Source organism: Homo sapiens, chromosome 10 (genome assembly GCF_000001405.40).
Source record: "Homo sapiens chromosome 10, GRCh38.p14 Primary Assembly".
Taxonomy (NCBI): domain Eukaryota; kingdom Metazoa; phylum Chordata; class Mammalia; order Primates; family Hominidae; genus Homo; species Homo sapiens.
Window position 1 is genome coordinate 107,160,162 of NC_000010.11, and position 21,413 is coordinate 107,181,574.

General features: G+C 38.5%; 1 protein-coding gene across 15 annotated transcripts in view, besides 1 other annotated feature; it reads right to left on the reverse strand.

The window, feature by feature from the left end:
• SORCS1 (sortilin related VPS10 domain containing receptor 1) overlaps positions 1 to 20,977 on the reverse strand; it is a 607,476-nt gene extending 586,499 nt beyond the window's left edge. For 14 of the 15 annotated variants that reach the window (XM_047424547.1, XM_017015615.3, XM_047424545.1 and 11 more), the window contains exon 1: positions 3,808 to 4,545. In XM_047424547.1, coding sequence (XP_047280503.1) covers positions 3,808 to 4,365 — 558 coding nt within the window. In that variant the 5' untranslated portion in view covers positions 4,366 to 4,545. Of the gene's footprint in view, positions 1 to 3,807; positions 4,546 to 20,902 lie in introns of those variants that run through there. The other variant, XM_017015617.1, reaches the window with a different exon arrangement.
• Positions 4,261 to 4,454: a silencer, noted in NCBI's record as "fragment chr10:108924180-108924373 (GRCh37/hg19 assembly coordinates)". NCBI's record gives its function as "represses an EF-1alpha promoter that drives an FKBP-Casp9 reporter gene in an ReSE screen in K562 erythroleukemia cells {active_cell/tissue: K562}" and the evidence as "EXISTENCE:reporter gene assay evidence [ECO:0000049][PMID:32094911]".

Sequence of the window (21,413 nt, forward strand, 5' to 3'; positions counted from 1 at the left end):
TCCTCCACCATCATCAGAAATCAACTCAAGATAGGATTATCTAAAATATAAACTCCAAAAGGTCTGAGTTTTTCCGTCCTACTTTAAAGTCCATTGAACAAGCCCTTCTGTGCAGTCTGGGAATAGGATCACTTTGGGTGACAGTCTCTGTTCTGCCACTGACCTCCTGTGTCTATTTGGCAATTCATTTAGCCTCTTGGAACCTCAGTTTCCTCCTGTATGTAATGACAATAATAACACCTACACATGACATTTCTGTGAAAAATTAAGTGAGATGATGAATGTAAAGCATCTACCCCAAAAGTTGGCCCAGATTGGGACTCAATTTATTCACTAATGTTGGATGGTAAATGTCAAATCCCAGAACAACTAGAAGCAAAGAGGTACACAGAAATCAAGCAGTCCATCATGTGCTATGAGAAATGTAACATTAAAGATGTCATCATGGAAAAATAGAAGTCAAGTAAAACCCTCTGTTAACAAATCTTGTAATACAATTGCCAGTGAGAAAGGGGCAGAGTGGTGAATTGAAATACTAAACTTAACTCCGGCATAAAAATATGAAAAAGAGATATTAACACCCGTCACCTACTTACTACCTACAAAGGATTTTATAAAGATTAATGCTACAGCACTTTAAAATCCCTTGGAAATAAGGAATAAACACATACACCATTATGCATACATATAAAGGCAAATATATATTTTAACACTCTAAGGATTACTATATAAATTTAGATCAGGGCACAGCATGCCTGGGATGAGTAGGGTGGGAACAATATGTTCTTGCTTACGACACCAAGCTCATGACAAATGATTCATACCCAGCACCTTTCATGCCAGAAGATCCCCCCAGGTGTTCCACCAACTCTAGCAACAGTTTCCATCAATCGAGACTGCAGTACAGAGGAATCACATCACACCCACAGACGAGGCAAAACAGACATGTCTTTATACAACTGCTCAAGTCCAACAGCTGAGGGGGCAGGAAAGTGAAGGGAAGGAGGTGAGTGAACCATCCAGAATTCCTCACCAGATTGACAAGCAGCCTATAATTACCATGCATTTGCACCTTGAATGCAGGTGTTGTCATAATCAGAGACTCTTCATAGCAAAGGCTTTTTGCTAAAGGTGAGAAGGGTTCACAGGATGTGCACTGCCTGTGGTCCTGAATGGGTCTGGGGGCAGATTTATAGGGGAGGACATCTAAATGTGAAAAGATAAGAGTCCCCCATGCCCCTCCACCACTCCAATCTGGCCCTCGGGTTTAAATTAGTGGATTTCCCACCCTGGGGTAAAGTGAAGTGCTGTTGAGAGTTCCAAACAAGTGTATGAGGCTGTAAAGTCACACTGCCCTCTTATGTATAGCCTGGCTCCTAATTCTCTGTAGTTAATCTGACCGGCATAGCCCCCACTTTAGAGATGAAAAAATCCACATTCAGCGGACACTCAACTTGCCTCGGTCAAACCACAAATAAGCAGAACTAGAATTCAGGTCTCCACTCTGCTTTGCATTCTACAAAACGGCCAAAAAAAAAAAGTTTATTTATGCTTTCTTTCCCTTTAAAAAATATTTTAAACTTTCTCTGAGTCTGGTCCAGATACGTAGGACTGGCTTTGTTTTGGAGGACATAGATAAAGACTATTTCTCTTTCTCCACTATCTGTATGTATATACTTAAAAAAGAAAAAGAAGAAACACCTTTGTGTGTGATGACCAGAGCAGAGACTGGGTCAGCAGAGGTCTTTATGGAATAAGAGACTTCAGGGGGCAGAAATCTCACCTCATTAGTTAACATGATTTGAGTGATCAAAACTTTAACACTCATCACCTCATTTCCTACGTTATCTCAGACCTGCCTGCATGTTCAATGCCCTGAACCTAATAAGCCCTACTAGAATTATAAGCACCATTTATTATTATTTTTTAATGCTGGCAGTGCTTGGCACCATTTCCTAAACGGAGGTTAAAAATTTGCCAAAGATGTATTCTACTTTTCTCTTTCTTTCCAAGATCTTTCAAGAGATGAGCTAAAAGAAGAGGTCTAATGGGTGAGTGATATTTTACAGCTTGAATTACATTAAAAGCCAGAAACATTCTGAGTCCAAAGTCTTTTACTTCTTAATACAACAAGAGCTAACATGTTTGATGTGTTTCAAATCTCCCCTTAAAGCCAGAAGCTTTGAGTTAATCACTTAAAGCAGTGTGAAAGTTATTCAATCAGTTTAAGAAGATTCGAGTTCAAATTAGAGGATTAATTTTAGTGGCTATGATATGAAAGATATAATGGTTAAGGTAAGGAATGAGGGCAAGGGTCTCCAGAACTTGAATGGAAAGAATTTCAGCTTCATTTATTTGATCAAACCACTCCTGAGAACCATATAAAATCACAGACTCTGTCATGAAGGAGGAATTGTAGGGAAAACCCTGCTACTACTCTCAGGACAGATACATCAATGCTAAATATTATCTATCATGATGTGCCTTAATACAATTTATATCTGTGTACCCAAGGAATTCATGATGACAGATTAGTATTTTAAAATGTTCACAACTCTCATTAAAAAGCTGACAATGAGCACAACTCACTAAAGTGGCACTTCTCTGGGAAGGTTTCTGGGAATTACATCACAACAGAAAACGTTTTGAAAGGTTCCAGACTGCGTAAATTGTGCATATTACAAACACTACAATCTCAATTACCTGGTTGAAGCTGTAAAACTTGAAATTTTTTTCCCCCATTTTACCCATCCTTGGTTGTTATGTTCTTGTCTATGTCTGGAGAAGTTTCCACACTTTAAAATCACTTTTAGTTATTACAATCAAAGCTGGTTCTCTACTATTTCAACTCACTGAAGTTTCTAGGTTCAATTTAAACAGGAATAGCTCCCTCAGATTGCAGACATGCAAGCTTTTCTGAAAATCTAAAACCTTTCCTGATAGGACCAAAGCTCATGGACTTGCATCCTAAGTCCCCTGGAATCCAGCCTCCTGGAATTGAGCAATCCCTTTCCTGCCTTCATAAAGGGAATGTTAAGTCTTTATTTGTGCTCTTCATTAGAGGAGGTCAGGCAATGGGGGAGAACAGGGAGTTGTTGTCACTGGGATATATCTGATCTTCCTGGGACTGACCATGCCAGAGAACAACCGCTCATTCACGGGCTGGAAAGCCCCAGTTCTCAAAACACCCTCGCTTAGCGCTGTTAGAAGATGCTGGAGAGTTCCTGCCCTGAAACTTGCATCCACTTGGTCCCTAAAGCAGAGGATACACTAAAGAACACCTTATATACTCTCCACTGCAGTTCTCCCTTGTGGAGAAGAAGGGGTTAGGAGCTCCGCATGAAATTAAAATAAAATAAAATAAAACGCCTACATATATGGGTCTTCTTAATCTTCTTTGAGCCAGTACATAGGTCTGGCAAGTAAAGGGAAAGTCACTTGAGGGGATGTCAGCTTGCCTGGAAATTTAACCCTTTCATCTCTGTATTAGGAGAACTTTAACCCCTCTGTTTACCTGGTCTTCAGTTCCACACACCAATGCGACCAAGGCAACAGGAAATAGGGATTTGACTCCTCAGTTTGAAGCTGTGGCATTTGGAGAGGACTCTGATGGTGTTGGTGGGAGAGATGGGGAGGTTGGTCTCCTAGTAGGTGATGTTAACTCTTGGGGGAAGTGGGCAGAGACCAGTTTGCAGCATCTCCCATGTCCAGAAACCCTATTTCCCCCCAATTCTCCATCAGATCACACAGCCGACTTTAACCCTTTCCATCTTTCCACCCCTTTACCCTCAGTCCCATTCTACTCACGCTGCTGTTGTGGCCAGACCAGTGGACCATGGCTTGGTTGTGTGCTGAGTCTCCCGTCAGCGCAAACGTGGTGCTGGTCAGTCTCAGCTCCTCCATCCGGAAGCGGGTGGCTTTGTCCGGGTCCCGCTCCCGAGTCCCAGGCTCCTGCTGCCCTCCATCTCTTAGCACTCCCCGGGGGCTCCGACTCGCGCCCTCTCCCCGTTCTGCCTTCTCCTGATCCGCTCCGCTCCGTCTCCTCCGGCCGGAGCGTGCAGCAACCGCCATGGATGCCCCAGTGCCCCGAGCCCGCTCCAGGGATAGCGCTCGGTCCCCGGGGGCCACTGAGAACAGGGGACGCACTACGAGGGGCAGGGGCGTGGCAGGAGCCCTGCCTGGCCGCCCCTGGTGGGAAAAGCCCCTAGGGGTCGAGGCCGAGCGTGGAGCGGAGCTGGGGTGCGGCGAGGGGCAGCAGGAGCCGCCGCCGCAGACGCCCGGGGCGCAGAGGATCAAGAGCCCCGCGCCGGCGAGGAGCGCGCTCAGCCGGGCTTGGGAGCCGCCGCCGGCGCCAACTTTTCCCATCGCGGGAGCGAAGAGCAGCGGAGAGAGGGGTCCCAGAACGAAGGTGGCGGCACGAGCTCTGCGCTGGCGGCTGTGGGGGGCCGGCGCTCAGGACCCCAACTCCATCCAAGTTGCGCCGCGGTGGGGGCGGGCGGAGGCGGCGCCGGGCAGGTGGCGGCCGCTTGCCCGGGCTGGGCTTGTGCCGAGCGCGGGTCCGGACGGAGCGAGCCGCCGCCGCGCGGGGGTGGAGCTGAGCTGAAGTCACTGGCGGAGCGGGCGCGGGCGCTGGCGGGCGACGCGGGAGGGAGGGCAGGCGCTGCCGGGACTCCGGGCGCCGCGTCCCGCGGCCGAGCTGCGCTGCGCACCGGGTCTCCGGGCGCTGGAGGCGCCGCCGGCGACCTCCCCTCGGCCTCGCAGGCGCTGCCGCCGCCTCTCCCCGCCGCCCACTCTGCGCCCCCGCGGCCGCGGGTCCCGGCGCTGAGTCCGCGCACCCTGCCCGCGGGGGCGGTCGACCCCGGGCTCCCGGAGCAGTCGATGTGTCGGGAGCTTCCTATTCCTGCTTTATTGTTTCTATGAGTCTATGTTGCTGTTTCCTTTTTTCTCCGTCTTTCTGGTCTTTTCTAGTTGAGGAGATAGGGATGGGTGGGCTTCTGCTCCTTCCCTCTCTTATGCTTCCTGAGTTGGCATCTTGACCTTACCCGCAGCAGAGCCTGTGTGTCCCAGCCTGGGGGGAGATCCCGGAAAGGCAGCAGCAGAGAGTGATGTAATTAAATGATCTCGTGTGTGAGTGTGTGTGTGTGTGTGTGTGTGTGTGTGTTAGTTTGGGGGATTTTTTTTCCCATCAATTTTAACGCTTAGATTTCTCTCCTAACCTCCTAAAGCATTCACTGAATTTGAACCCAATCTTCCTGCATGCAATCATATTTAAGAAAACGCTTTCCACTACGCGTTTTTTAAGCGTATATATCTTGGTTTCCCTAAGAGACTGCAAACTCATTGAGGACAGGAAGATCAAATTTCGAGCAACTTGGAGGAAGTGACCTGTTTTTTGTTTACCATTTTCCTCAGTACGTGGCACAGTACCCTACATGGGAGGAAATCTGCCAGTCATTAGTTCAATAAATATTTATTGTGAGTCTAATGCATATCTGCATAACAAATAAATACAGGAAAGGAGGCACAGTACTTATAGTTATTCTGTGTCACTTGGTGCCTGGCCCAGTGCTACTGCCACATGCTTTGAGATCCCTAATAGCAAGTCTGTGATGGTGCTCTGCCACTGGTTTGCTTTGGGACCTCAGACAAATCACAATCTGTCAGCTTCCTAAGCTTTAAAATTAAATGGTCACATTAGATGACCTTTAAAATCCCTTCCGCTCCTAAAATTCTATAATTGTATGATTATAGTATCTGCCCAGCCTAGCACCCTGCTACTATTCGTAAGTTCAGATGAAGATTTATAGCAGGTGAATGGGCTTTGAAAACGGCAAAGGATTTCTCAAAATCCAATCCTTTTTAAAGTAGACAGTTTGCTTCTAAGGGTTGAAATGGTTTCAGATTTCTTTGCAGTCTTCATATACGTAATATTCTCTTAGGTACATGTTATTACATTATTTAATGAATATTTACTGATTGAATAAATGAATGACACAACAAAATAGTACCGATTCCAGTTTCTAGTTACATTTTTGTTCATTTTCATACTAGAATAATAACCTCACTGAAAAATCTGTATACCGTGTTTGCGATGAGGCCAAGTTCAAAGTAATACAGAGTGATAATTACTCTTCAATTAATGAAATTCTTTCTAATGTCCAAGAAAACGTCTGTTATATCAATCCAATCCAGAGAGGTGTTGTAAAATATCGGCCTAAGTTCTTGTTCTTACGACCAGCGCAGAAAAAGTGCAAATGCAAGGAGGGCAGGCTTCTCAGCCATTAAACTTGAGTACCTAAAAGGACCTAAAAGAGTGTCCTGTTTGTCGTTAAAGAAGAAATACAAGCAAAAGCTCCTTTATGCCTGAATCCTCCAAAACAGAAAGGCTGTCTGGCAGGCTATGGCCTCTAGATGGAGGAGAGGAGAGCCAGAGGTCCTCTCTCCTCCTCAAATTGCAAATGTTCTTTGTCAAAACCCAGAGCGGTAGTTTTTTCTTTCCTCAGAAAGGTTTTTAGAGCTTTGCAGGATCATTTACTTAATGACTTCTTTCTATGCCCTGCTAACCTCCTTTCCAGTCTGGATAAGTACATGGGAATTCCTCCAAGAAAGGAAAAGCAGATTAAAGAATCAGAACCCAAATAAATTATCATCCAAATATAGGCTGGAAGAAGCAAAATGGAAAAGAAGACATTAGTGGATTCAGATTTCCTGGCTTTAGTCTATCATTGCCCTACCACCATTTATGTTATTTTGGTTTCAAAATGGAAGCGCTTCCTGAAGAATGCTCGTACAAGTAGAGTAGATTTTTCCTTCCCAGAATTTACAACCTCTTTTCAAACACACCTGTCAGAATGATCCCTTTAAAATGAAAGCATTTGCAGTCCATTTGCTGGGAGTTCATAGAGAGCAGGCAAGTTTTTAATGCCTGATTTTAATTATTCATTTGAGACAGAAGTTACACAAGTGTGGATGACATTGGCTGCAAGCCGTATTGTTCATATGTAGATAGATGGATTCATTTTATTTCTTATGGCTCTGCTCCCCGTTTACTTTTGCCAACAAACAGAAGCGGAAAGTACCAGTAATTTCCTAAATTATTCCCCTTATCTAGAAGACTCCAATAAATAGGCTAATCATGGAGGGGAGTCTATTTCAAGATGTTTTCAATCCAACAACCCACTAAGCAATCCAATAGATTTTTATTAATATAATATAATAAGAATGAGTCATTTGTTAGGAAAGTAATTGATATCAAAGGCTAGTAGAGAACATAAATCTGTAATTCCAATAAGGAGTCTTTTCATTGTGCACGTGACAAATATGCCACGACTTCATCTAAGTTATCATCATTTCTCATCTGGACTACCACAACAGCCTCTTACTGCTCACTCTACTCCATAATTGCACTGTTCCGTTCCTTCTCTCCAATAGTCATCTCCAAAGATGACACAAGTACAAGGGCACAAGCACACTCAGGTGATCCATTTTTGTGCAAGATGAAAATAATAGAATTTGGTGATATATTTAGTTTTAATCAGAAAGATTAAAATTTAGCCTTGCTAAAATATTTAATTATTGATTAATATACCTATGTTATATACAGTTTTATATACAATATAAACATATGTATATATATTCATATATATGCATATATATGTATAAAGAGAGAGACAGAAGCAGATAGAGAAAGAAGCAGAGGCAGAAAGACAAAGAATATGAACATTTAGTCATTGTATACTGATTGGTGTGCACAATCAAAAAAGTGTGGACACTCTGCCCTACAAGGCAGCAAAAGTAGTCTTTCAAAAGGATAAAAAATATAATTTATTGTAACTGCTTAATACTTCCTGCCAGCTTACCATCACAAACAGAATAATATCCAAACTCCTTACCATGGCTGACCAAGTACTCACTTCTCCATCACATTTGGCAGGATTCTCTACCCTCATCCTAATACGCCAACCATTAGGGGCTATCCTTTTCGCTGATGTGCCCAGTTTTTTCCAATTCGTGACCTTTGCACATGCTGTTCCGCCTGCCTAGAACGTCCACCGTCCAACCCCACTTCATATGGCTGACTCCTCTTTTTTGAGACCTTCACTTTAAATATACAACCTTAGAGAGACTTTTCCTGAACCTCTGCCTACAGAAGAAATTTATTCCACATTTTCTGTATCAATCTCTTGCCAGATCTTTCTAAGCGTATATTACAGCATTTAATTATTTTACTTAAACCTGTTTTTTGTTAATAACTTCCAAAAAATCCACATGTGGATAAAGGCCCTGTGCTCCTTATTTCAACATTTATTTTCAACATTAACCTCATTTCAACATTTCTTTCAGTGCCTAGTTAATTAAGTGCTCAATAAATAATGGCTGGTTAGCTGGGTGGCACCAGTATAACAAGCCTAGGAGCACAACTCTTAGTAACTAGTACTTTGTAAATCAGATATATACTCTATGCCAGAAACTATGCTATGGAGTTTAAATGTACCAGCTCATGCCTTTTTTTTTTTTTTTTTTTTTTTACAAAGCTTATATCACATAAGTACTATCATTCTCCCCACTTCACAGATGATATTAAGTAACTAGGGTCACACAGCAATTAGTGCAAAGAGACAAGGTTTCTACGTAGGCATTCTTATTCCCAGTATGTTCTTGATTTTATGAAATACTGTTTTACTCCAAATCCAACTAATAACAGATAACACTTATTGATGATTTTCTATGTGTCAGGCACTCTAATTGGCTTGAAACATTTTTAGTAATGCTGAGCAAGCAATTTTGGGAACAAGTGTGCACTTTTTTTAGGCTGAGGGGAATATATATACTCCCCATTTCTATTTGCTTTTATTTTGTGTGTGGGAAGTAATGTTAAAGAGAATGTTATAACCACTCCCCACATAATCTTACAGCATAAGCTACAGGTTAACTGTCTCATTGGTTTTTTGTCTTCCCTTTTTCCTAAGTCTCTTGATTTTTGATGGCTACTTTGGCTTCAGTTTGCACTAAATCACATTTATATGCCTCATCGTTTGAACAATGTCTTTTAATAGTTCTCAAAATATTTGGCTCCCCTTGGATACCATTGAGACAAAGTGTCTTGTCTTGCATTTCAGATCAATTTCATGAAGAACCACAGAAAGAAAACTGGGGAGAATAATATGCAGGCTATTCTCATTGCCTGCCAACAGAATGATGGGATTTTTAAAATCTGTCCCTTAAAATACTTTCAGGTATCAACAAATACAGACCTAGCTCTGAATCCAGTAATTGTACCCGTTCTCATACACCCAATCTAAGTGGTGTTAGTAGGAGCACATAAGCCCTCTTATCTTTAAAAACAGGGCTAAGATTATCTACCTAACTCATAAGGATGTTATGAAAGTTAATTCTACCTTGGACACCCGTTGGAGATAACAAAACTATCTTGGATTTGTGTACCCTCTGTCTCATCACACCTCTAAACAGTTTTTGTTTTGCATTTTTCCCCCTAGTTTAATAAATCTTGCAGCAGCTCCAAAAGATAGGTAGGGGGCAGTTTTTGCCTGTATCTTACAGAATACAAATAAATTTATCTAAGGTCACAGACTCAAAGACAAGACTTAGAGCAGATTGTCTTTTTATCCTTTTCCCCCCTGTTTTGTCCAATTCTGTTCCCAATTTGTATATTCATGAATTAAAATTCCACATTATTTTTGTGTAGCTATTATGCAGTGCTTATACAATCATTTCAGGTTTCAAAGGATAGTTTGCATAATTAAGTAGGAAAAGAGAAGCATGAAATAATATCACTGTCATTATGTAAACTCACATATGCATATATATTTTTCCAATTTTAATATTCATACTTAAAGTGAAATAGATAAAAATATACTATGATTAAATAAGTTTATTTAAAGATTGTATTATTAGATTTTTGAAAATATACCTTTACCAAAAAGTCTGAGAATGCATTAACATAACTTTATTATAGTCTTAAAATGATCTGAAAACTGTAAAATGTAACTTCTGTGTTCTCTGTTTTCTGTCTTTCTCTAGCCTGTAAGTCTAATATAAAAAGGCTTTGATGTACTAAATCACGAAACCAACTTCATAACATGTTTTCTGGTCCAACTTCCCTAGAAATACAAATAGGAAAAATAAACTCAGTTTATTTTAAACTAAACTTGGAGCTACATTTCACTTTTGTTGCTTCAGGAATACTGACTAGAGGAGAGAAGACAAAAGAAACAAAATGCTACCTCAAAAAACTCTTTAAAGGCCAATGATTGCAAAACCAAAAGCTTCTATATGATAAGAAGTCTTTGGTTATATTTGTCCCCTGTAACAAGAACCTATCCAAAGATGAATGAGGTTAATATAAAGCCCAATTCAGTAGACTCCTGTGGCATAATATTCCAGCAGAATACAACTCTATAAAATGTACAGTAGCCACTGAAAAACAAGGTCTTTGGGACCTCTCACTCAGAGCAAAGAGTATCTTACAGAAGAAGGAGGAAACAAATCAAAGAATCAGTAGCACAGTTGGACAGACATTAACTATTTTATGCTGCTTCCCATTTCTCTGTTTGATCTGGACCAAGAGCAGGCCTCCAGTCCAGATATTCCCAACAGTATGCTAAGCTCTGGTAGTGGCACAGAGGGACACCAAAGAGGAAAAGAAGAGAGGCGGTCAAAGGCACAAAGTCTGTTGTGTCTGTCTGTCTTGTGCTGAGAGGCAGTACAGTGTGGGGCTTAAAATCCTAAACTTGAAAGTCAAAATCCTGCTTTTAAATCCCGTGCATGTCACTCACTAACTGTACATTATCATTTGACTTTTGGAATCCCTATTCCTTAATCTGCAAAATGTAGGTTATATCACCTTCCTCATGTGAGACTGATTTACCTGAGACAGAGTGAACACTCAATACATGTTAGCTGTTAAAGTTGCTTCATACTTCAAATACCAACTTCAGTTTGACACTGTTCTTCAACATGCTTCTCTAGATGGGAGACAAGGAGTTAAAATCCATGTATATTTTTTAAAAATCAACTTATTTCCAGCTAGGGTAAAAACACAATTTAAAGACCACCATACCCCAGCAGATATAAAAAGAAGAGTAGAGAACAGGTGTTGGAACGCAGAAGGTTCACTCTGGAAGCAAATTGAAAGGATGGGATAAACTACCACCTTCTTAGTTATTGCCAATCTGGTGTTCTGTGTAAAACACTGTACCATCAATCTGCATCTTTGCAAGCTTCTAGGACATCAACAGTAGATTGGGCAAGAGACTGAGCTTTTAGCTATGTACTTGAATTATTCTTTGCAGCTTGAGAAATTAACTTTAGAAAAGGTCCAAGGGAATCCCCCTTTTTTTTTTTTTTTTTTTTGGCACAGAGTCTAACTCTGTCTCCCAGGCTGGAGTGCATTGGTGCTATCTTGGCTCACTGCAACCTCTGCCTCCCAGGTTCAAGCAGTTCTCCTACCTCAGCCTCCCAGGTATCTGGGATTACAGGCTTTGCCACCATGCCTGGCTAATTTTTGTAGTTTTAGTAGAGACGGGGTTTCACCATGTTGTCCTGACCTCAAATGATCCACCTGCCTTGGCCTCCCAAAGTGCTGGAATTACAGGTGTAAGCCACCATGCCCAGCCAGGGAATCCCTTAATACATCCCTTATTCAACATATGCAATTTATCTTTTGGAGATACTATAGAGTGTGAAGATATGAATGAGCTTTAATAAGCTGCCTAGATGTAGATCCATGATTGTTGAAAAACTGTTATTAGGATCCACTCAACTACCTGCTCAGTTACTATCATCAGGTATATCTCTATGAGGTACATTATTAGCTGAGGCCTGTTCATTTTCTAAAAGGAGCTGTGGTTCTCCAGGGGTGGTTTAATGAGTTCCTATCTAAGAAGTCAATCAGTTCATTGTTAAACTGGTATTTTATGCCTGTTATCCAAAGGCCCAATTTCTGTAGAGGCCAGCAGCCAAAATCTTTTTCTCCATTTCTCCATCTCTCATCCAACTCACTGATACTTCTAGATTTTAGTAGCTTTATCTTCTTAGACTTCCATTAACTACTTTTGTTTCTTTGATATCTGCTACCATAGTTTAACCCCAAATTGATGGCCTCCTTCTTTGCAGCATAATTCTTGGTCTGTGCCTGCCATGTCCTGTGCCATCATCCACTAGATCTTGGCATGATATTAGGAAATGTTTGAAATTTATCCACAGACTTTTAAAGGTTCTCATTATGGAGATCATCTTGTAATGTACTTTTTGGTTCTATTGTTGTAGGTGCTAAGTATGTAAACAGTATCTCTTTTTTCTATATTCTCTTGGCACTCTATGCCTATTCTGACATTGTACTTTTTTAATTCTCATCTTCTAAGTTAGCCATCTCCTCCATTAGACTGCAAACTCCTGTAGGTTAGGGGATGTGTCATCTATCTCTTAACCTCAGTCCAAAACCTAATGCAGGCACAGAGAAGACAGTGTTTCTTGAATGAGTGAATAACAAAGCTAATGCTCTCACATTTTTAATAGCCTTTCTTAATATTGTCAGATGATCAGCACTAGAATGAATCATAAACACCCACCACAAATGTCACATAAAGCTAAATTTACACCTAAGAGAAAACTTGAATCAATGAATATGGCAATTTAAGGCAAAACATCATCAACTGAAAATGTTCCTGTTTTCTAACCTATTGCTATTAGCTGAAGTTAGTTTAAAGAGAACCCTGCCCGGTAACATTGACAATGTTTGTTAGCATTTTTAAAATATTTGAAAATTATATTAAAATTTAACCCACATCCATAAGACTGTCAAAATCTTAATTATATGTTGTTTCTGTGATTTTATTTTTACACACAAATACAACCACAAAGATGAAGATAGAAATCTTTCTCAGCATCCGAGCAGGATCCTGTACCTTCTCAGTCAACAATACCTATGTGCATCCACTCTGACAAAAGTAATACCTCTTCTGACTTCTATAACTATACATTAATTTTGCTGTTCTTGAACTTACTCAATTAAATCAGTTTGTACTCTTGTGTCTAGCAGTGCAGGGGGTGTTAAATGAAGAGATGTAGGTCACGGAGTACAAAGTTACAGTTATATAGGATGAATAAGTCTAGAATCTAATATACAATATGAGGATTATGGTTATTAATATTGTATTATATACTGGAAATGTGCTAAGAGAGTAGATTTTAAGTGCTCTTACCACACCAAAAAAAGTAGGGGAAGGAGGAGTAACCATGTGAGGGGATGGAGATGTTAATTTGCTTGACTTTAGTAAAGATTTCACTATTTATATATACATTAAAACATCATGTTATACCTCATAAATATATTCAATAACAGCTAAAAGGGAAAAGAAGTTCTTAATATGATGTAATTCAATTTATCAATTACTTCAAACCTTTTCTTTATGGCTAATGCTTTTTATTTTCAGTTTAATAAATCTTTTCCTACCTCATGTTTGTGAAATTTTTTCTAGAAGCTGTATTGTTTTATCATTTATATCTATAATCCATCTGGAATTTCTTTGTATGTATATGGCATGAAGTAAGGTTCAAGGTTCATGTTGTAGTATATGGATATCAATGAACTCAGCACCATTAATTTAAAATTTAAGAATCCTTTTCCTATCATATTGCCATGGCACATTTATTGAAGTCAAGTGACTACGTGTGTGTGATTGTTTCTGAATTTTCTATTCTCCTTAATGCATCAAGTTTGTCAAATTTTGTGCTAACAAAGCACTTCTTAATTATTAGAACATCATAATACATCATAAAACCTGATATGAAGTCCCTTAGTTCTTCCAGCGTGTTCTAGAATCTCATTGTCAACTTCTAGGAATGATGGACTTTTTAATAGGATTGCATTGTATGTATAGATCAATCAGGGATAAATCAGTATTTTAAAAATATTGAGACCTCCCATCCATTAATATATTATTTTTCTGCATTTATTTTGATCTTTAAATTCTCTTAGCAATATTTGTTAGTTTTCCAATATGGAAATCCTGCACATCCTTCTTTTTTTGTCGTTGTTTTTGAGATGGAGTCTTGCTCTGTCACCCAGGCTGGAGTGCAGTGGCGCCATCTCGGCTCACTGCAAGCTTCGCCTCCCGGGTTCACGCCGTTCTCCTGCCTCAGCTTCCCGAGTAGCTGGGACTACAGGCGCCCGCCACCATTCCCGGCTAATTTTTTGTATTTTGTTTAGTAGAGATGGGGTTTCACCGTGTTAGCCAGGATGGTCTCGATCTCCTGACCTCGTGATCCACCCGTCTCGGCCTCCCAAAGTGCTGGGATTACAGGCATGAGCCACCGCACCCGGCCACATCTTTCAATACATTTATTTTCAGTTACTTAAGGTATTTGGTGGCATTGTGACTATGATCTCTTTATCTTAATTTTTAATTGATTATTGCTAGAATATAAAAACAAAATTAATTTTATATTGACCTTATATCTGGTGAAATTGTTAATTATACTTATTAATTTTAATAATTTTTAGGGCCCTTTAGAATTTTTATGTACTTAAGGATATGTGCATATTAAAATTCTACTTCTCTATTTGAAATATATCTACCATTGATTGGTTGATGATTGTTTGGCTAGCAAGATGAATATGATATTGAATAGAAATGGTAATAATTTAAAATATTGTATGGGGAAAATTGGCTCAAGAGCAGGGGGAAAGGTTTTATTATTTCACTGTGAAGTATGCTGTTTACTGGAGTTTTTCTTGCCAATCACTTTATTATATTAATTTTTTAAATTCCTAATTTGCTGACATTTTAACAACACGAATAGGTTTTGAATTTTATTATATGCCTTTCCACATCTTGCAATATGGTCACGTTTTTCTCCTCTGTTCTGTCAATATTAACTAATTATCAAATGTGAAGCTAATTTTACCTTCCTAGAACAAACTCCACTTGAACAAAACATTTTATTTTATTATAGTGTTGAATCTGATTTGTTTATATTTTGTTTAGGATTTTTGCAAGTATATTCATGAGATATCCTGTCTTTTAATTCCCTTTTGTATAATGTCCTTAATGGATTTTGAAATCAAGGTTAAAGTGGCACCATAAAGCAAGCTGATAAGAGTTCACCCTTTCTCTATATTCTGGGGGAGTTCGTGTAAGATTAGTGTTATTTCTTCCTTATTTGTTTGAATGAAATAACCACTGACATTACTTGGATCTGGAGTTTACTTTATGGGAAGCTTTATTTACTATTTATCAACCTATTTAGATTTCTTTCTTTCTTTCTTTCTTTTAGATGGAATCTCGCTCTGTCACCCGGGCTGGAGTGCAGTGGCGTGATCTTGGCTCACTGCAACCTCTGCCTCCCAGGTTCAAGTGATTCTCTTGTCAGCTTCCCGAGTAGCTGGGATTACAGGTGTGTGCCACCATGCCTGGCTAATGCTTGTATTTTTGGTAGAGACGGGGTTTCACCATGTGACCCAGGCTGGTCTCAAACTCCTGATCTCAAGTGATACTCCCACCTTGGTCTCCCAAAGTGCTGGGGATTATTGGTGTGAGCCACCGTGCCCAGCCAGTTTATTTCTTTTTGTGTTTGTTTTGGTACATTGTGTTTTTCAAATACTTTATTCATTGCATCTGAATTTTCAAATCTATTGATATAAATTTGTTTTATTATTGTATTACTCTTATCATTTTGCTATCTGTTAGATCTATATTAATGTCCTCTTCTTGATTTCTGATATGGGTAATTTTTGTTTTCTTTCATTGTCCTTGATCAAACTTACTAGAAGTTTATCAGGTTTATTAATTGTTAAAAGCAAATTTGAGTTATTCTTTTGTATATTTTGCTTTATTTCTGCTTATATACACACATATATATGTGTACATATATTTGAAACTTTTTATTCCCCTATAATCACTGCTTTAGCTGCATCTCACACGTTTTGATATGACCCACTCATTACCACTTAGTTTAACTTTTAAAATATCTCCATTGTTATTTCTTTTTTGATTCATGAGTTATTAAAAAGTATTATATGTAATCCTTCCTTCCTTCCTTCCTCCCTCCTTCCCTGTTTTCCTTCCTTCCTTCCTTCCTTTTCTCTTTCTTTCTTCCTTCTTTTCCTGCCTTTCTTCCTTTCTCTCTTTCTTTCTCTCTCTCTCTCTTTCTTTTTTTCTTTTTTTTTTGAAACGGGCTTTCCTGTCGCCCAGGTTAGAGTGCAGTGCAGTGGTGTGATCACTTCTTGCTGCAGCTTTGACCTTCTGGACTCAAGTGATCATCCCACCTCAGCCTCCTGAGTAACTGGGACTACATACGGGCACTACTACGCCTGGCTAATTTTTTTCAGTTTTTGTAGAGACGGGGCCCCAGTATGTTGCTGCCTAGGCTGGTCTTCAACTCCTGGTCTCAAGCGATCCTCCCAGCTTGGCCTCCCAAAGTGCTGGGATTACAGGTGTGAGCCACTGCACCTAGACAAGTATTTCTAATTATGTTTTTAAATTTTTGTAGTTTTCTTTCATTGCAATCAGAAAGAATGTTGTACAAATTCAATTATTTGAAATTCGTTGAAACTTGCTTAATGGCCTTTGCTATGATCAATAATGGTAAATGTTCCAAGCACACTTGAATTAATGTGTATTCTGTAATATTTACCCTTAGTGTTTTTTATATATATAGTGTTTTATATATATAGTGTTCATTAGGTCAAGTTTGTTAATTATGTTGTTCAAATATTCTATAATTTTATTAATTTTTTTGGCTTAATTTGTACTTACTAAGAGAGGTGTATCAAAATTGTCAATCATATGTGTGTGTTTCTCCTTGATTTGTTTTCGATTTGTTATTGACTTTCTGAAGATGTGTTATTAGGGTCAAATATACATAGAACTGCCATGTCATCTTTTAAAATTTATACTTTCATTATTGTGAATTCTCCTTTATGTTATTTTTTGCCTAAAATCGACTTTGTATATTAATATAGTTTTGCCTTTTTTTAACTTGTACTGTATTTATTTTCCATTTTTTGCCTTCAATGTACCCTAAAGTCTGTCTTTTAAAACACCACATTGTTTCTTTCTGCCTGTCATTCTTTGTCTTTCTTATAAATTCAGCTTTTTATTTTGAGATAACTGTAGATTCACAGTAGTGGTGATAAATAAATACAGGGTATTCCCATGTACTCTTTGGCCAGTTTCCCCCAATGGTAACATCTTGCAGAATTACAATCAGGATATTGATATTATGACATCTTGACATAAAGTCACAATATGGAACATTCTCATCACCGCAAAGATCTTTATGCTGTCCTTTAAAATATATATTTTTAATTGACAAATAATAATTGCATATATTTATAGGATCTGTTGCACAATGTGGTCATTATAGTTAAAAATAATGTACAGTATATTTCAAAATTGCTAAAATAATTAATTTTTTTACTTTAAAAAGATTTATTTATATATTGTGCCTATTTATGGTAGATGTGAGATTTTGATACATTCTTACAATATGTAATGATCAAATCAGCGCATTTAAAATATCCATCACCTTGAATGTTTATCATTTCTTTGTGTTGGGAACATTTTGAATATTCTCTTCTAGCTATTTTGAAATTTGCAGCAGATGGTACATATACACTGTGGAATACTATGCAGTCATAAAAAGAAAGAAAATCATTTCTTTGCAGGGACATGGATGGAGCTGAAAGCCATTATTCTCAGCAAACAGACATAGGAACAGAAAACCAAATACCACATGTTCTCACTTATAAGTGGGAGCTGAATGATGAGAACACATGGACACATGGAGGGGGAACAACACAGAGTGGGGCCTGTTGGAGCATTGGGGGTGGGAGGAAGGAGAGCATGAAGAATAGCTAATGGATGATGGGCTTAATATCTAGGTGATGGGATGATCTCTGCAGCAAATCACCATAGCACACTTTTACCTATGTAACAAACCTGCACATCCTGTGCATGTACCCCAAAACTTAAAAGTTGGAAATAAAAAAAAGAAATTTGCAGTATATTGTTGTTAACTGTAGTCACCCTACTGTGCTAGCAAACAGTAGAACTTACTCCTGTGTAGCTGTATATTTGTACCCATTAACCAACCTCGCTTCATGCCTGTCACCCTTCCTAGCCTCTGATAACTATAATTCTACTCTCTACTACCATGAGATTAATTTTTTAAGCTCCCACAAATGAGTGTGAACATGTGATATTTGTCTTTCTGTGCCTGGCTTATTTCACTTAACGTGATGACCTCCAGTTCCATTTATGTTGCTGCAGATGACAGGATTTCATTCTCTTTAAAATTATTTTATATATATATATATATTTTTTTTTAAGACAGAGTCTCACTCTGTCACCCAGGCTGGAATGTCACCCAGTGGTACGATTTAGGCTCACTGCAACCTCTACTTCCCGGGTTCAAGCAATTCTCTTGCTGAGTAGCTGGGACTATAGGTGCATGCCACCACACCCAGCTAATTTTTGCATTTTTAGTAGAGATAGGTTTCGCCTTGTTGGCCAGGCTGGTCTCAAACTCCTGACCTCAAGTGATTTGTCTACCATGGCCTCCCAAAGTGCTGGGATTACAGGCGTGAGCCACTGTGCCAGTCTTTGATTCTTTTTTTATGGCTGAATAGCAGTATTTCATTGTATATATATACCACATTAAAAAAAATCCATTCACTCATTGACGGACACTTAATTTGATTCCTCATCTCAGCTATCATGAATAGTACTGCAATAAACATGAGGGTTCAGGTATTCCTTTGATATACTGATTTCCTTTCCTTTGAATAAAGACTCAGTAGTGGGATCTCTGGATCATATGGTAGTTCTATTTTTCATTTTCTGCAAAGTCTCTATATTGTTATCCATGATGGCTGTACTACTTTACATCCCACCTACAGCCTATGAGAGCTCCCTTTTCTCTGCATCCTCAACAGCATTTCTTATTTTGTGTCTTTTTGATAATAGCCATTCTAACTGCAATAAGATGATGTCTCATTGCAGCTTTGACTTGCATTTCCCTGACGATTAGTGATGTTGAGCATTTTTTCATATACCTGTTGGTATTTTGAATGTCCTAAAAGAATTTATTTTTATTGTTTTCACTACAAAGAAAAGTATGTGAGGTGCTAGATATGTTAATTAGCCTGATGTAATCATTCCACAATGCATACATGTATCATGTTGCCCTTGTATAGACACCACATACTCTCCTTAATTCCTAGAAACCGTTAATTTGTTCTCCATTTATATAACTGCATCATTTCAAGAATGTTATATAAAAAATGTACAATATAAACCTCTTGAGAATGGCATTTTTTACTCTGCATGATTCTATGGCAATTAATTTAGATCATTGTGTGTATTCAGCACTGTAATCCAATTCCTCTGCATATTTGCCAGCATTTGATGTTGTCACTATTTTTAACTTTGGCCATTAAAATAGGTGTATAGTGACCTCACATTATGGGTTAAATTTGCATTTCTCTTATGGATAATAACTTTAAGCATTTTTTGAAATCTGTGTATCTTCAGTGAAATGACTCTTCATGTCTCTTGCCCATGTTCTAATTAAATTGTTTGATTTTACATTGTTGAGTTTTGAGTGTTCTTTACATATTTTAGATACTAGTCCTTTGTCAGATATACGGTTAGCAAATATGTTTTCCCACTCTTTAGCATGTATTTTTATCCTCTTAACAGGGCCTTTCACAAAACAGACTTTTTTTTTTTTTTTTTTTTTTTTTTTTTTGAGACGGGGTCTCTCTCTGTCACCCAGGCTAGAGTGCAGTGGTGTGATCACACCTCACTGAAGCCTCAACCTCCTGGGCTCAAGCAATCATCCCACCTCAGCTTCCTGAGTAGCTGGGACTACAGATGTCTGCCACCATGCCTATCTAACTTGTTGTTTTTTATAGAGATGAGGTCTCACTATGTTGCTCAGACTATTCTCAAACTCCTGGGCTCAAGCCATCCTCCTGCCTTGGCCTCCCAAAGTGCTAGGATTACAAGTGTGAGCCACTGAGACTGGCTTGAACAAACATCTTCAGTTTTGTGGAAATATGATTTGGTGTCAGTTCTAATAACTCTTTGCCTAATCCTGGAGTCCCAAGATTTTCTCCTATTCTTTGAAAAAGTATTATAATTTTACACTTTACATTTATGTTCATGACTTAATTTGAGTTAATTTTTGCCAAAGGTGTTGGCTGGGCTTAGGTCAAACTTATTTCATTTTATTTGTATTTTGAATAGATATTCAATTGCTCCAGAACTATTAGTTGAAAGGCTCTGACCTTTGTTTTATTTCTGATTCTGATAACTTTGTCTTTTCTCTTTTTTTCCTTTGTTGGTCTTCCTATGGGTTGTCAATTTTTTTATATTTTCAAAGAACCAGCTCTTTGTTTCATTGATGTTTTCTACCATTTTCTGTTTTCAACTTCATTGATTTCTGCTCTTATAATTATCATTTGTATATTTATTCTTACTTTGAGTTTATTTTTCTGTTCTGTTTCTAGGTTCGTGAGATAAGAGTTTAGATTTTTGATTTGTGATTTTTCCTCTTTTCTAACACAGTCATGCAACACTTAATGGTGGGGATAGGTTCTCAGAAATGCTTCCTTAGGATATTTTGTAGTTGTGCAAACATCTAGGCACAAGCCTAGATGGTATCGCCTACTACACACCTAGGCTCTAGGCTATGTGGCATAGCCTATTGCTCCTAGGCTACAAAACTATACAGCATGCTACTGTACTGAATACTGTAGGCAATTCTAACACAATGGTAAGTATTTGTCCATCTAAACATATTTAAAGATAGAAAAGGTACAGTAAAAATACTGTATAAAATATTATAAAATAGTAAAACTGAGTAGGGCACTTACCATGAATGAAGCTTGCAGGACTGGAACTCGTTTAGGTGAATCAGTGAGTGTGTGATGAGTGAATGTGAAGTCCTAGGACATTGCTATACACTGCCGTAGACTTTATAAATACTGTACACTTAGGCTACAATCATTTATTAAACATGTTTTTCTTTCTTCAATAAAAATTAACCTTAGCTGACTGTACTTTTTTAACTTTATAAATGTTTTAACTTATTTATAAATGTTTTAACTTATTTATTTATTATTGACTTATTTATTTATTATTAACTTATTTATAAATGTTTTAACTTATTTAACCTTTTGACTATTGTAATAGCACTTAGCTTAAGCTTAAAACACAGACACGTTGTACAGCTTAAGAGAAGTGTTCGCTTCTCTTATATCCATATTCTATAAGCTTTTTTCTATTTTTAACTTTTTAAGTTTAAAAAGTTTTTGGAAAAACTAAGACATAAATGCATATATTAGCCTAGGTCTACGCAGGGTCAGGATCATCAATGTTACTGTC